The sequence below is a fragment of the Homo sapiens genome, chromosome 12, assembly GCF_000001405.40.
Source record: "Homo sapiens chromosome 12, GRCh38.p14 Primary Assembly".
Taxonomy (NCBI): Eukaryota; Metazoa; Chordata; class Mammalia; order Primates; family Hominidae; genus Homo; species Homo sapiens.
In genome coordinates this window covers 129,866,904-129,884,417 of record NC_000012.12, presented here as the reverse complement: position 1 = coordinate 129,884,417, position 17,514 = coordinate 129,866,904, and the positions used below count along the sequence as shown (strand labels likewise).

At 40.8% G+C, this 17,514-nt stretch overlaps 1 protein-coding gene across 1 annotated transcript in view, besides 1 other annotated feature; it reads left to right on the top strand.

Annotated features, from left to right (window-relative positions):
* The window catches only part of TMEM132D (transmembrane protein 132D), an 832,300-nt gene that overhangs the window by 19,608 nt on the left and 795,178 nt on the right, over positions 1–17,514 (top strand). The gene's annotated exons all lie outside the window — the stretch shown is intronic.
* Positions 11,683–12,654: an enhancer, noted in NCBI's record as "OCT4-NANOG-H3K27ac-H3K4me1 hESC enhancer chr12:130356309-130357280 (GRCh37/hg19 assembly coordinates)". NCBI's record gives its function as "activates a minimal SCP1, AML or CMV promoter by ChIP-STARR-seq in naive H9 embryonic stem cells {active_cell/tissue: H9 hESC(naive)}" and the evidence as "EXISTENCE:reporter gene assay evidence [ECO:0000049][PMID:30033119]".

Here is a 17,514-nt window from a genome sequence, read left to right as displayed (position 1 = left end):
GGCTTTACTATTCAGTTTTGAGAATTGTTTGTTTATTTTGTAGACAAGTCTTTAAACCATATACATGATTTGAAAATATTTTGTCTCAGTCTATAGCATGTTGTTTATTTTAACATGTCTTTTGCAGAGAAGACTTTTTATTTAGAAGACATCCAGTTTATCTTCTTTTCTATTATGTAACTGATATTGCCATATCTTAGAAGTCTTTGCCAAACCAAATGTCATAAAGCATTTCTTTTTTGTGCTTTTTCCATAAGTTTAATAGTTGTGTCATTTTGGGCAACATAGTGAGACTCCGTCTCTACAAAAAATCAAGAAATTAGCCAGGCATAGTGGTGTATGCCCATGGTCCTAGTTTCTTGGGAGGCTGAGGTGGGAGGATCGCTTTAGCTCAGGAGGTTGAGATTGCAGTGAGCTACGATTGAGCCACTGTGCTCCTGCATGGGTGACAGAGCGAGATCCTGTCTCTAATTTTATAAACACTGTTACAGATTTTATTGCATTGAGGTCTATAATCCAGTCTTGGTTAATTTTTGTGTATGGTGGGGTGTATAGGTCAATATTCACTTTTATTGCATTTGAGTATCCAGTTGCTCTGGCATAATTTATTGTAAAGTTTGTTATTTCTCTTTTAAATCGACTTTACATTTTTGTCAAGGTTGTCTGACCGTATATGGTAGATATACTCTGAGCTCTCTTTTGTTCCCCCATGTGTGTCTCTGTCTTTTCACCAATACAACATTGTCCTGATTAATTTTCTTTAGAAGACATCTTGAAATGCTAATCAGATATGTGAAACTTTTAACTTTATTCTTATTCAGAAATGTTTTGTCTATTCTAAATCTTTTGATTTGAAATGAAATTTTGGAACTAGCTTGTGAATTTCTAAAGCAAATAAAAACAAAAATATCTTGCTGGGATTTTGATTGGAAGTGTATTGAACCTGCAGAAAATCCACCTCAATGATAATGAGAACTGCCATCTTAATAATAATGAGTTCTGTAGTTCATAAACATGGTATGTCTGACAATTTATTTAGGTTTTCTTTGATTTTTATCAGCACTGTTTTAGTTTCAGCCTACAGATGCTGCACGTAGTTTTTAGATTTCTACTGGTCTTCCAGATTTTTGGGTGCTTTGGGGAATAATATTCTTTAAAAAATTTGAATTTATAATTCTTTATTGCAATTTTATAGATATGCAATTGAGTTTTGTATGTTGACCTTATGTGTTAAACTCACTTGTTTTAGTAATTTTTTTGTGAGACATCTGTTAATGTTTTGCATGCATGACCATGTCATTTTTGAATATAATTGTGTTTCTTGCTTTTCAGTCTTTATGCCTGTCCACACCCCTCCTTCTTTCCCTTTTCCCTGTCCCTTGTGTATTGCACTGGCCAGGGTCCCCAGAACGGTGTTGAATAAGAGTGGTGAGAGCATACATCTTTTCTCTATTCCCAAACTTAGGGGAAAGACATCACATTTTACAACGTTAAGTATGATGTTAGTTGTAGGTTTCTTTTAGATGCTTTTTGTGAAAATGAAGAAGTTCTGCTCTGTTGCTAATTTGCTGAGAGTATTTTTTTCATAAACAGGCATTGAACCTTGCCAGACTACTTCTATTGCACCAATTGCCATGATCATCTGGTTTTCCTTCTTAAAAACAATGTTATGTGTGTTTTCAATTGACATAATAATTGTACATATTTATGGTGTACATAGTGATGATTCAGTACATATAATGTATAGTGATCAGATCAAGATAATTAGCATATTTATCATCTCACATGTTTATGATTTTTTGTGTGTTGGGAGCATTTAATGTCCTTCTTCTAGCTATTTTAAACTATGTATTATTGTTAACTAGTCATCTTACAGTGGTTTAGACCACTAGAACTTATTCCTGACTTGTCTTAGTAAGCTGGATGACGTGGTGGATTACACTGATTTATTTTCAAATACTGGACTATCCTTATTTTCCTCGTCAAACCCAATTTAGTGATGGCATATAATTATTTTATATATTGATATATTTGATTTGCTAATATTTTGTTGAGGGTTTTTCTGTCTAAATTCATGAAAGAAATTTGCTGTAGTTTTCTTTTATATACTGTCTTTGTCTACTTTTGGTGTTAGGGTACTACGGGCTTCGTAAAAGAGATGAGGAGTATTTCCTTCTATTTTCTGGAAGAGACTACACATTTGGAGCTAGAACTTCTTTAAATGTTTGGTTTACATTGTCTGGTGAAACCATCTGGGTCTGAATTTTTTTTTCAGAAGCTATTAAATTGTAAGTTCAATTTCTTTGATAGTTTCAGGATTATTCAAATTATCTACTTCATAGTGGCTGAATTTTGTTAGTGTTTTCTTTTTAATGAATTGGTTCATTTTATCTACATTGTCAAATAGATAGAAATAACATTGTTTATGATATTGCTTTATTAGCCTTTTTGTAGTTTTAGATCTGTAGCGATAATTCCCTGTTTCATTCCTGTTATTAGCAATATGTTTCTTTACTCTTTTTTTCTCAGTCAGTCTGGCTAGAGATTTATGAATTTTATCTGTTAACTCAAAGAGGCAGCTTTTCATTTTCATTGATTTTTCTTTATTATTTTGTTGTTTTATTGATTTCTGCTCTAATACTATTTTTTCTTTTGTGACTTTGAGTTTAATTTTCTCCTCTTTATCTTACTCCTTTATGTGGAAGATTAGATCAGTTTTTGAGACTTTTCTACTTACATCAGTTCCTAATAGTCTACATTTTTCTCTAGGAACTCTTTTATCTGTGTCCTAATGTCCCTTATAACTTCCTTATGATTCATGTTATTTAGATATTTGTCATAAATTTTCAGATGTTTGGGGGATTTTCTAGATACCTTTCTGATATCGATTTTTAGGTTAATATCATTTTGGTCAAAGACTATACTTTGTAGGATGTTAATGCATTTATATTTTTTGAGTTTTTTTCAGTTTTCCAGAATGCAGTCTACCTTGCTCAATGCTTGTTGTGCTCTTGAATAGAATGTTATTTTGTGCTGTTGTGAGGAGTGCTCTGTAAATGTCAATTAGATGAGTTGGTTCATACCAGATAGTCCATATTCTTATGAATTTTCTTTATGTATATTTTCTATTACTGAGAGGAGTACCTCTTCAACATTGCTCTAATAGTTATGGATTTTTTTGTTTCTCTTTATGGTTCTGTGAGTTGTGGCTGAATGTATTTTGAAGTTCTGTCGTTAGTTGCATATACATTTAGGATTATTATGCATTCTAAGTGTATCAACTCCTTTATAAATATGTAATATCCTTTTTCCCCAGTGTTATTGGTTATTTGGAAGTTTATTTTTCTTATATTATTAATATAACTACTTCAGGTCACTTGGTGTATTTTCCCTATCCTTTTATTTTTAACTAGTTAATGTCTTTGTGTTCATAATGTGTTCCCGTAGACAGCGTGTAAATGGGCGTTACTTTATACTCATTCTGACAATCTGTATTTTTTAATTGGTCTGATTAAACAATTTGCATTTCATATAATTTTATATGTTTGGATTTACATCTACAATCTTCCTAGCAATGTTTTATTTGTTCTATCTGTTCTTTGTGGCCTTCTGGCATCCCCCTTTTCTCTGCATGCTTCTTAGAATATGGTTAATAACTCTATTTTATCTCTACTAATGGGTTATTATTTATCTTTTAAAAAATTCTGCAGTGGTTGCCATAGGGTGTTCAATACAGGCATTTAATTGATCACAATCTAATTTCTGAGCAATATTACTACTTCGCGTGTGGTGTAATCACCTGCCAACTGCATATTCCAATTCCTCTTTCCCACTTTTGGTTTTACTGATGCCATTTATTTTATTTTTGGGCATGCTATAAACCCAAAATACATTGTTGTTATTTTGGCTTCATACAGTTATTTTTAGAGCAATTCAAGATAAGACAAAATGGATTTTATATCTCCCTACATTTTAATCACATCCGGAAGTTTTCAGTTCTTTGTGCAGATATTCATTTCTGCCTGTAACACAGTCTTTCTGTCTGAAGACTCTCCTTTAACATATCTTATATCAGAAGTCTGATGGTTATGCATTTTCAGTTTTTACTTTTCAGAAAATATTTTTATTTTACCCTCATTGTTGAGAGCTGTTTTTACTGGGTATAGAATTCTGGGTTGATGATTTTCCTTTCAGTACTTTAATGATATCTCTTCATTGCCTTCTGGCTTGTATAGCTTCTGACAAGAAGTCTGCTGAAATTCTTTTCTTTGTTGTTTTGTGTGTAATGTGTCTTTTTTTTTGCTGCCCTCAACATTTTCTCTTTTTCTTTTTTAGAAGTTTAAACATGATGTGTCAAGATGTCCCTTAAAATTTATTTATCCTGCTTGGGATTCTCTGAGGTTCTGGGGTCTGTGGTTTGAATCTTTTATGACTTTTGGAAAATCATCACATGTTTCCTCTTCAGATAGCTCCTCTTTCCTGTTTTCCTCTCCCCTCCTGTTGGAATTCCAGTTGCAAGTATGCTAGACTGTTTCATATTGCCTCAGAGGGTCTTCAATGCTCTGTTCCGTTTGTTTTCTTGGTTGTCTTCTTTTTCAGTATTTCCATTATTAATAATTTCTTATTGACCTACTTTCCTACCACTGATTCTGTTCATAGTCATTTTTAATCTATAAATCAGCCTATTGAAGGTATTCTTCATCTCTGATTGTGAGTTTTCATGATTATATTATTTCTAGCATTTCTGTTGGCATTTTCTTAGTTTCTATGGCATCGCCAAATTCCCCCTAGGTGTTTCAGAGTTGTCCACCTTTTCCACCTTTTCCACCATCGTCTCCTGGCATGGCACCTGGAGTCTCTTCCTCCTGCTGCAACTGAGCCATTACTCACGTTTCTTCTCGCTTTGCAGGACTCTGTTTTTCCTTTGATTTCACGCTAATTGGTTTCTCTGCAACTTCAGCTCTTTGATGTGTTCAAGAAACTATTATTTTGTAGTTTATCCCACTTTGATGTTGTGTTAGGATGGAAGTGATACTTTTTCCAGTTCTCTGCATCTTACACAAAGCCTTTTAATAAACATTGTTTTCAGCCAGCAGACCCAGAGATTCTGATGTATTTGATTTGAGGTGGGACCCCAGTCTGTTTTAAAAATCTTCCCATCTGACTCTAATGTGTAGGACTGAGGCATAGACTTTTTGGGGAAGTGAGACTGTGATCTAGGAAAGGAACACAAACTCTTATGTCTGGGATTGATTTTATGACATTTATTTCCCCAGTGGAGTTTTTAAATATATCACTTGGGGCCTAACAAGGAAAATAGACTGCATTTCACATATTTCCATCACAGAGAATTTGGTAAAATAAATTGGTTCTACAAATGATGAAGAAGCTGTGTGTCAAACAGTGGAAGGGGAAGAAACTGAGAGAGTAGCTACAACAGGGAGCTGCTGCCCTCTCTAGGCTGGAGGGCAGAGGGAGGAGATGGTGTTTCCAGGGTCCAGGTGCCAAGACAGGTGTATCCTGCAGGTGCTTCCAAGAAGCAATCTGTAGGCCGGGTGCAGCGGCTCACACCTGTAATCCCAGCACTTTGGGAGGCCAAGGCAGGTGGATCACTTGAGGTCAGGAGTTCAAGACCAGCCTGGCCAACATGGTGAAACCCTTTCTGTACTAAAAATACAAAAATTAGCTGGGCAGGTGCCTGTAATCCCAGCTACTGGGGAAGCTGAGGCAGGAAAATCGTTTGAACCCGGGAGGTGGAGGTTGCAATGAGCTGAGGTCATGCCACTGCACTCCAGCCTGGGCACAAAGCGAGACTGTGTCTTTAAAAAAAAAAAAAAGCAATCTGCAGCAGACACTTGGGGTGACACCCCAGGCCTAGGGCAAGGGGGACAGCCCTGGGCTCTCTTTTCCATCCTCTAGTCTCCTGCCAGTAGCTGTCATTGGTCCATCCCAGCCTAAAACCAGCGACATGGAGCCTTGGGATGTAACTTGCAGGAGTCAGTGAACCCACAGCACAGAATAGGACAGAGAAAGTGAAGGTGGCAGCTGTCCACCTCCCGATCACCATACTATAACTCCTTCATTAAGCAAAGCTTAATTACAGTAACGTAAAGCAATCACTGAGAATCTCAGTAGGATTTCAGGAAAGGAAGGTCGAGAATAGATACTTAAAAGAGATTTGGGGTTTGAGCCCGAGTAGCTTAAGGTAGGTCCTTCAATAGAGGAGACACACCAAAACAAGGGACCTGAGGTGAATCCTGATGCACAGTCTTTTCATAAGTGAGCTTTTAGCCCAGGTGAGCCATTTATTGTTTAAATAAATCCGTTTTCAAAAATTTCCTGAAGCAAACAGTGAGATCATGTATTATTTCACAGTCTTGTATTCCTGGGCAGGAATTTCCTGGAACAGACAGTACAGGCATTTTGATATATTAAATAGCTGGTCTTAGTTCTCGCCTTGTGGATGCAGATGGTCTCAGTTCTCAGGGCAAAATTGCCACAAACTGACCCCAGTCTATAATATAGATTCTGTGCTTTAGGAATCACTCCAGGCTTGAAGATCATTTCATGCAGCCTTACCAGTGTTTCATGGGGAGTGGTTAATATGAAGACATTAGAATAACTTATCCTGGCATGACTGGAAGAGAAACAGCTACCTCTGTGCCAGTATGAAGACACCCAGGAGTAAGCTTTCCAAAAGGAGTTGTCATCACTGCCTAAGAGCTCTCTAGAGAGGCTGCAAGATGGGCTTCAGCTTATAGCGCTCTCTCTCTCTCTCTCTCTCTCTCTGTGTGTGTGTGTGTGCGCGCGCGCGCGTTTGGTTAATAGGTATTATTAAGCCGCTATTCTCAAATTGCTGTCCCTGCTGTTCTGACCCATGTCTGTTTGCAGGCTGACTGTGGGAAGCCAGATGAATGAGATTCTCTGTGACCTTATCTGTTTTACGCGTTTAAGGATGTTTCTCAGCTGAACAAATAGGAATGGGTGCTTCCTTCTGCTAGCCAGCGGCCCTTAGAGTCAGCTGTTGATCAGGTGGATTCTTGGTCTGACACGTGTACATGAAATGCTTGAGATTTAAGGAAGGTCACAGAAATCTCTTTGAAGTTCTTCTTACCCACAGTGTGTGGTTCTCTGAAAGTGTTTGTACCACGGCCATGGTGAACTTTCTATTTCATTCTGTCTCAGCTCTGGAATAATATTAATAGTTTTAATATAGTATTATACTATAATATTACATAATTATAAATATAATATTCATAGTTAAACTAATATTAATAGTTTCCTTTTCTTCATAACATCTGAAGGAGGTTGTTTCTTTGTAAAATGTGTCTTGTTTTGGGCTGGGGAGGGAATATAGTCTCTTCTTCACGGATAGAAGTTGCATTTGCACACTCCATTCCCACGCTCTGCATCTATTCCCACGCTCATAACAACAGTTTGTTTCCTTTTGGGGAACCCTCCCTTCCTCTGTATCAGTTCATATAGTGAGGTTGGGCTCAGCCCATCTTTGCTTCCAGAGATTGAGAACTAGGAAAGGGCAGTCAACAGATTGACTTGGCTACAGTGATTGAGTCAGGCGTTAATACCTGACCTAATTCCAGTAGAGGAGAGAGAGCTTCATGACTTTTGGTGGAAATCTTGGAAGAAATAAGGTCCCATTTTGTGGACACTAACAGCAGTAAGGATGAGGCCAAGCTGAAGCTGCTGGAAGCCACCCCAGAGAGCCTGATAATGAAGCCAACACAAAGAGACAGAGAGAAGACAAACATGATATCGTTGTTGAGGCTTGATCCAGCCATACCTGAAGCCATAACCCATACCTCCAGAGCTGTTCAGTTACATGAGCCAATAAATTCTCTTGTTTTTCTTTAAGCAAGTTGGTCTTGGGTTTATGCTACTTGTTGCTGATAAGGTCCTGACAAATGTGTTCATGAAAGAGGTAGTGTAATAGCCGTGGAGATTACTGTAGAGAAATCACAGTCAACCAATAATCCTTAGCCATCATTTCTGCTGCATCTCAAAACAAGCTTCCAGGTATGGAAAGATTGCTGAATTGGAAATAATGGTTTGCTTGTTCTTTCTTTTGGACTTTGTTAGGATCAACAAAACGATGGCAGTTCTTCTTCCCAATGATAGGATTTGGTGATGAGGATGCTAAGACCCGAGTTTAGATCACCAGATAATTGGATTTGGAATGGAAATAACATTTCTCGGCTCACTTCTTGCTGCTTTAGTAGTAAGAATCTACACGCAGCCTAAGGGCCTCCCTTCTGTCGATTTCCTTAGGTTTTTTATTTATATGTCTTGTTTCTGGAACTAGGTAGTGAGCTATTGGAGACCAGGAACCATGTTTTAGGTCTGTCGAATGAAGTCTCAGCATTTTAACAATGCTGAAAACACAGCCTAGAATACACTGAAGCTCTTGGAAATAATGAACGGATGGCTGGATGGATGGACACTACCATGTTGATTAAATTGGAAATCTCCAGGCCAGAATTAACAAAATGGAAGCTGGTCAGCCACCCGCTGCTGATGGACATGTTGTGTTTGATCAACAGAATTTTGTTGGTGTTGTTTTCTTAATTGAGTTGTCAACATTTTTTAAATCAAGAAAATTAAGATAAATTTGGATTTCTGCTGTCTCTCGAAAATCGGAAGCCCTGGCTGGGCTGGCATTCTCACTGCCTCCCTGGGATGAGGCGCATGCTTTTCCCGTTGCCTCCCTGCCAAATCCCCAAGCCAGCCTCCCTTGTTCTGTGACTTGAACTGCAGCTCCAGGCCACAGAGTAGCCACAGAGGCCACGCCTCTCTTCCCCGCCATGCCTGCTGGATGTCCGTGTGTCTCCCTTTAACATTTGTTAAATTTGAACCTACAAATCCTCTCTAAATGGGACTCAGGATAGCACCAGTTCCATGACTTGGTGAGAATACCACAAGCAGTCGGACGTCGGCAACGCAGAGCCGGGCCCTTACCAGGAACTAACCACGCTGGCACCATGGTCTCGGCTTTCCAGCCTCCAGAACTCTGAGAAATAAATGTCTGTTGTTTCTAAGCCACTGGTCTATGACGGTTTGTTAAGGCAGCCTGAACAGATAGCACCTGAGGCACTTGTGAGGCCATCGGACATCAGCGCTTTCTAGGGCCAGTGTGAAAGCCCTACAGGGTGAATACAATGTGGCTTCTAAGCCACGACCTTGCGCACTTTGTCTGTTAAGGGCCAGCCAGCACGCACTTTCAGCTTTGCAGGCAGGCCATGCGGTCTCTGTCACTACTGCTCAATTGTCGTCTTGGTGCAAAAGCACCCAGGCAACATGTAAGCCGATGTCTGTACCTCTGCTAGAATACAGCTTGATTTACTTATTGAAATTACACATGCTTTTTATATGTGATGCAATATCATCCTTCTTTTCATTTCTTTTTAGCCATTAAAATAATGTGCAGCCCGGGCATGGCGGCTCACGCCTGTAATCCCAGCACTTTGGGAGGCCGAGGTGAGCAGATCACCTGAGGTCGGGAGTTCTAGACCCCGTCTCTACTAAAAATACAAAATTAGCTGGGCGTGGTGGCGCACGCCTGTAATCCCAGCTATTCGGGAGGCTGAGGCAGGAGAATCACTTGAACCGGGAGGTGGAATTTGCAGTGAGCCGAGATTGCGCCATTGCACTCCAGCCTGGGTGACAAGAGTGAAACTCCATCTCAAAAAAAAAAAAAAAAAAGAAAAATGTGAAAAACATTTTTACTTTTGGGGCTGTATAAAAGTAAGTGTCAGTTTGCATTTAGTCCAGGGACTGTAGCTTTTTGACCTCCGTTTTTTTTTTTTTTTTAACCTAGCTTTATTGAGGTATAATTGACAAACAAAATTATGTATATTTAAAGAGGATGACATGATGATTTGATATACATATGCATTGTGAAATGATTACCACAATCAAGTTAATGAACGCATTCATCACCTCACACAGTTACTTTTAAAATAATTTATTTATGTATTTTATTTTTTATTTTTTGAGACAGAGTCTCGCTCTGTCACCCAGGCTGAAGTGCAGTGGTATGATATCAGCTCACTGCAGTCTCCGCCTCCCAGGTTCAAGTGATTCTCCTGCCTCAGCCTCCCGATTTATTTTTAAACTAAGTAAAAATTGTATGTATTTATGGTGTACGTCATCATGTTTTGCTATATGTGTACATTGTGGAGTGGATAAGTCAAGCTATTTATCATATGCATTACCTCACATATTTATCGTATTTTGTGGTAAGAAGACTTAATATTTACTTTCTTAGTGAATTTCAAGTCCACAATACGGCCTCATTACCTACAGTCAAAGTGCTGCACGTTGGTGCTTCATGATGTATTCATCTTAGAAAGTTTGTAGCCTTCTGTTGTAATCCCCGTCTGAGCAGGGCCTGAGGTTTAGTGCGGGAGAGGAAGAGTGGTAGATCATGGAATCAAAGATGGGTGGAAACAAGTCACTTAGAGCAAATGAATGGGGAGTTAGTGGAAGGATTTTTTAAAAGTTGCCTGATTCACTTTACATTTTTAAAATTTATCGTCTCATGAATTCTCAGTTCAGCCTAGAATACTTTTCTCTGGCAAATGATATAAAATCTGTACACAAGAAAGACCCTCTCTAGTTCTCTCTGTGTGTTTTTTAACCACAAAAATGAAAAATGAAAACAAAGGGCATAGTTTTGCTTTTGTGAAATCAGGCCTTTGTGAGTTTTACTTCTGGCGCATTTGATCCCTTGTGGTTGACCCACTCATTCAGTCTCTTTGTAAAAGAGGTAATTTGAAACAAGGTAGTAAAGATTCTCAACAAGACAGATCCATTCTTTGTGCCCAGGTTCACGCTGGTTCAGCGTCTAGCCATTGAAATGGTTCTGCAAAGAACTGGGATTTTAAAAATTCTGTTGCTGAAATTTCCTGCTGCTTTTGACGAATCAGCTTAAATTCCTATTGTTTGTTTTTATAGTAATGTAGGCGACGGCAGTCTGGTTCTCTTTTAATTGTCTTCATTTCTGCCCTTATTTGAGTTGCAGCAAATCAGCGAAATGGTGTGATAATGACAATCCCAACAGCTTTCTCCCCTTGGCACACACTCTTCCTTTCCATTTTGTTAATCACAATCAGAATAATGCATCTGTTCGGAGGCCCCCTCTTCTATCAGATCTTAGAGCATGAAACAAAGAGGCCTGAAGATAGTCCGTGCTGCATATGTCTGATGCGATAAATTAAAAGAAAAATAACCGTCTGAGCAATTCAATCAAAACGGTGTCCCCTCTGCAATAATTGGGGCGCAAGAATTTCATAGCGTCTCCCTACCTTTCTTTTTGTAATGGGTCTATCAGACTCCAGGCGCGTGACTTGCTCAGGGTCTTTCAACAAGATTAAGAGTGAGGTGTTCATAGGAGAGCCGCCTTCTTCACGCTGAATGAAGGATCATTTTTTTCACAAGGGAATAATGCTTTTTGCTTTTTATTGAGAGGCACCTAGGCTTCTCTTTCTTCATCTGCCTCGCGTGAAGTATGAACAGCATCATTTCCAATCTCTTGCCCAGCTCTAACATATTTGAATCTTGCATGAGGTACATGTTTTATTAACGGGTTTGTTGACATGGTGGATATTAGCTTACTCATTCACGCATGGACGGTCAACATCCTGTGCGCCATTTAACCCAGAACCTTGGAGCTTACGTCGGTACATTACAAAGGTACTTGAAAATGGTGCAGGGATTGCTGCTTACTGACTTTCGCTCCAAAGATTTAACCACATTAGTTGGTGGCTTTCAGATAGACACAGACCCCAACAACATGACTCTTCTAAACAGCATCCTTCGTGTTTGTTTTCTCCCTTGGTGGGAGCAAGTTTGACCTTTGCAGCTTTTAGACTTGATAGAACATTAGTTCTTAACGTTATTCTGCAGTCAGTTGAAAAGCCTTTGTGAACAGTGAATGCTGAGGAGATAATGCCACAGCTGGGGACCCCAGGCAGGGGATGCACGGCAGGGGATCGTGATGTTTAATCTGGAGAGCAGGAGAGTTGTTCCATTGGGAAGTTCACGTTCACGATGCTGTCAGTGTCTCCTATTTGTCCTCCCCCTGTGTAAACTGGATTAGGAGTTCTGTGCCTCCCAAGGCCCACTTTGTCTTGGGGAGATTTACTCCTATCAGGAAAAAGAGATTGGGTGTTAGGAGAGGCTTTGTTGTCTGTCTCTTTAGCAACTGAATAGAGGAATTTAATCCTATTTGTGTCACCCGCTGTGACACTGAGACGTCACTAAACTGGAAAGTGATCTTTTATTGGTCTGTGATTGAGGTTGGTGGAAGGGACTTGGCAGGGTATGTCCTGGAAGCATGGGAGAGTTGATAGCATTAAGGAGCCGCCTCTTTGCTGAGTGGAGCTGTAAATGAAGGGAAGCAGCTCGCTGGGGAGTGTGGACCCACACAGGCCTTCCTGCAGACATTGTCTGTTCCATCCCTTTCCTCTTCCGTTCCTGTAGGCCTGGCCTATGGAGGCTGCCTATGGAAAGATCACATCCAGGCCGGAAGGGCCATGGGGGATTTTTAGTGGGGTTCAGAGACTGGCTTGGAACTTCCCATATAGCCTCTGAAGATAGGTTTTTGACCCTAGATCTGGAGCCCATGGTGTGCTGGTACATGTTTAATAAAAATTGGTTCTCACGCCCACATGGCTAATTTCAAACTACCGAGAGTTCAGCAGCTGACTTGCTAAATTCTTGAAGATTTTACAGTTGGCTTTTGCAAGCCAGTATGAACTAGTTCCAGGATACCACAGAATAGAACCAATATTGAGACACTTCCTAAGTTGCTTCTGCTTGCTAGAAACATTTAAGTGGATTTCGACTTGGTGTATTTTTCAGAAACCATTCAGATGCAAGTGACAGAAAACACAACTCAGACTATCTGAAACAGAAAGGGGGATTCGTTGCCTTTTTAACTACAAGGCTGAGGTACTCTGCCTTCTGTCTCAGCTGGACACACACAGTGTGAAATATGTCATCGAGACACCCTCTTTCCACAGCTTGCCTTATTTTATTTTGTGTTGATTTCACTCTTGGGCAGACTTGCCCTCATGATATCAAGATGACAGTCAACTTCAGGATGACCTCCATCCTCCCAGCAACTTCAGCATAAAACCAAGAGAATGTTTCCGAAGAATTTCTGACTTCACTCTCACGGGATTTGAAAAGGAGCATGGGCGCACCTGGAACGAATCACTGTTTAGTTCCATATTAATTTTCTCTGGCTTAAGGCCCACATTGAAATTGCAGGTGTGGTGAACAATAGATTTCTGCTACCCCTCAGTCAGCAGGCTAATTCCAAAGGGAAATGGGCACATTTCACAGGACCAGGATTTCTGGGACAGAAGCCTCATTAGCATTTGAGCGACTCTGCCTGCTGTCTGTGTCTCTCTCCACAGGTGTTCTAATGTCAGCTCTGATACCAATGGTGTGTCCTGCGATTCAATGCAATTCTGACACTGACCACCTAGAGTTAGTGCAGACCCCGTGGGTTAATGGCTGGGTCCCCAACAAGACTTCCTTCACTCCAGATGCCAGCTGTAGGGGGCGAGGGGCTTTGTCCATTGATTCCCTCTATTTTAAGGTTATACCCTTAACCAAACCTGAGCCAAAATACCCAAGGTACCTGCACTTCTGTCCAACGTGCCTACACATTTTGGGGTTCCTACAACCTCTCTTTAGGTTCAATAAAGCAGCCCACAGAAGCCACCAAAAGCATGCTGTGCTTCTGATTACAGTTTTCTGATAAAGGATTTAACTCAGGAAGCGCCACATGGAGGAGATAGCTAGGGCAGTTTCTGGGGTATGGATGGGAGGGATGCCGAGCTTTTGCGCTCTCTCCTCATGGAATCCAGGGCATCATGCTCAACACATTAAGATGTTCACCACCAGGAAGCTCTGCTGAGCCTGCAGTCCAGAGTTTTATGTGGGGTTTCATTATGTAAGGGCAGTCGATGAAATCACTGTGGCCTTCCTCAGGGGTTTGGGGAGTGGAACTGTAAACCCATGCATGGTCTTTGTGGTGCTGTCAGCCCCTCCCTTGAAATTATCTAAGGGTTCACCCATGAGTCACCTCCTTAGCATAAACCCAGGCGTGGCTGGCATGGTGGCTCATGCCTGTAATCTCAGCACCTTGAGAGGCTGCTGTGGGTGGATCTCTTGAGCCCAGGGGTTCTAGACCAACCTGGGCATTATGGCAAAACCATGTCTCTACAAAAAATACAAAAATTAGCTGGGCATGGTGGCATGCACCTGTAATCCCAGCTACTCGGGAGGCTGAAGGATTGCTTGAGCCCAGGAGTTCGAGGCTGCAGTGAGCCATGATCACACCTCTGCACTCCAGCCTGGGTGACAAAACAAACAAACGAAACCCAGGTGTGGTGGAAAGAGGCTCCTCATGAATACCAAGAACACATCACTCAGGAAGTGCCAGGGGTTTCTAAAGCTCTCTGCTGGGAACCAGTGACAAGGAGCTGATCTGTTCTGTATGATATCAGTCAACAAGTGGATGTGGCTCTAGAGATGTCTAGATGGAGACATGCATATTCATGTGTATGATACTGTGCAATGACCCATTGGCAGAACGGTTATCATTAACCATCTAAACCTCCTCTTACGTAAATCTCCACTTGATACTGCAGAGTTCAAGAAGCGCCATCAAGATAATTGCTCCTAACTCAGACAAAAAAAGGATTTTTATGACTCCTTAGGAAAATACTTTTTGTTGTTCACTTTCCAGACAGTGCTCTGTATTCGTGGGTTCTGCATCTGCAGAGTCAACCAACTTCAGATTGAAAATATTCAGGAAAAACCCACAAACAATAAAAATAACAATATAACAATAAAAATGCAAATATGAAAGCAATACGGCGTAACAACCACTTAAATAGCATTTACATTGTGTTTGGTATTATGAGTAACCTAGAGATGATTTAAAGTATTCAGGAAGATGTGCATAGGTTATATGCAAATACTATTTCATTTGATATCAGGAATTGAGCATCCGAGGATTTTGGTATCCATGGAGGTCCTACCACCAATGCCCCCAGGTATGCCAAGGGATTGAAGCTGAAAATGCAGGTAATTTCACAACTTGTTGCTCGTTTTCACTGGGTGTCTGGTGGCTTCAATGCCTGTGCCCCAAGAAGAACATGCTTTGTCTAAACCAAAGCTGAGAAATTCAAAGATATTTACGCACCAGGAATGCAGCTTAATATGGGAATCAGCTGGGCATAAGACAATGTATAATGGGGTGCAGTGGGAACCCCAGATTCCTGTGCTGCCTGAAGACATTCATATTAAAAAAAAAAAAACACAAAGCAAAATAAAAACACAGTGGCTGAGGAACCGGTTCTAAGGGCCAGATATGATGAAAACCCAGCCAATTTGCAACCCACAGATGCTAAGCAGAGTTCAGATTCTTGGAGGTCTGCGGCTGGGGTTGAGTCTGTTATGCGAAGCTGGTTTTCTCTTTCCTGGATGTCCGTCTTCTTGCCCTGTTCCCTGCCTGGTGATTGCCAGATGAGGCACCTCCGAACCTGGCTCCTTCTGCTGCATGGTAGCCAAAACACCCTGGGGGCAGGGTGGGAAGAGAGGCCGCGTTCCTTGCATCGCAAGCAGCTGGACAGTGAACTTCTAGAAGAACAGCTTGTCCCGGCCCTAGAAAGCCAGTTCTGCAGTCCCACACTTTTGAAACACCTGCTGTTTGACTTGAAGCACCTGAATGTGCAGATGGCACCTGCTTACAGGGGTACAGGGCATAGAGAATGGGTTGAATCAACTCAGGTGCTGCTGCTGCATGAAATTGTGCAGATGGAGTTGACTTGACCACAGCGGCTGACACAGGAAGCCTCGACTCACGATTATGTCTTCTAGGGGGTTCAGCTGGAGGCTGTAATATGGCTTGTCATCGTGCATGGAAGATATACTTGAGCAAATCCTAATACGTTATTTACTACAAGTTAGTATTGATTTAGAAAAAATTTAAATCAATTTTGTTGTGGTATAATTAGCATATCATAAAATGTACCCGTTTCAAGTATATAGTTATTGGCTTTTTGGACAGATGTATGTACCATATAAACGCTGTCTCATGTGTGTACCATAGAAATGCTGTCTCATGTGTGTTCCCTAGAAACGCTGCCTCATGTACCATAGAAACGCTGCCTCATGTGTGTACCATACAAATGCTGTCTCGTGTGTGTACCATGGAAACACTGCCTCATGTATGTACCATAGAAATGCTGTCACATGTGTGTACCATACAAATGCTGTCTCAAGTGTACCATAGAAATGCTGCCTCATGTGTGTACCATAGAAACGCTGTCTCATGTGTGTACCATAGAAACGCCACCTCATGTATGTACCATAGAAACGCCGCCTCATGTGTGTACCGTACAAATGCTGTCTCATGTGTACCATAGAAACACTGCCTCGTGTGTACCATAGAAACGCTGTCTTAGTAGAGACACAGACATTTCCATTGCCCTAGAAGTTTCTTCTGCTCCTTTTCCAGCAACCCCAACCCATCTCTGGCCCCTGTCAACTGTTGTTTTTCACTAGGTTAGTTTTGGCTTAAATATATACCTTTTAAAATTTATTTTAGCTTTTAAGCTTTATTGAGGTAAAATTGACAAAAATTGTATCTATTGAAGATGTACAATTTGATGATTTGCTGTATGTATACATTGTGAAATTGTCACCACGGTCAAGCTAGTTCACATTATCCCTTTCTACAGTGACGGTTTTCTTTGTTTTACTTTCTCTTTTTATGAGGAAAACACTGAAGATTTATCCTCTCAGTACATTTCAAGGACACTATACAGAATTATTAATTTTAGTCCTTCTGCGGTTCATTCGAACTCTAGAACTTGCTCATCTGGCATAATAGAAGGTTTTCCCTTTTTCATCAGCATCTCCCTATTCTCTCACCAGTGTTGCTGAGCCCTGGCAACTACCATTTTACTCTGCTCCTCTGAGTTTAGCTTTTTTAGATTCTGCATGTGAGTGAGATCATGTGGTTTCTGTGCCTGGCTTATTTCACTTAACTTCGTGTCTTTCAGTGTCATGTATATATTGTTGCAAATGGCAGGATTTCTTTCTTTCTTTTTCTTTTTTTGAGACAGAGTCTGGCTCTGTCACCCAGGCTGGAGTGCAGTGGCATGATCTTAGCTCACTGCAACTTCTGTCTCCCAGGCTCAAGCCATCCTCCTGCCTCAGCCTCCCATGTAGCTAGGACTACAGGCACATACCACCGTGCCCAGCTAATTTCTGTATTTTTTTTTTGTAGAGACAGGGTTTTGGGGTTTTTCCGTGTTGCCCAGTCTGGTCTCCAACTCCTGAGCTCAGGCCATCTGCCTGCCTCAGCTTCGCAAGGTGCCGGGATTACAGGCATGAGCCACTGTGCCTGGCTGGATTTCTTTTTTAAGACTAAGTAATATTCCATGTATATATACACCCCACATTTTCTGTATC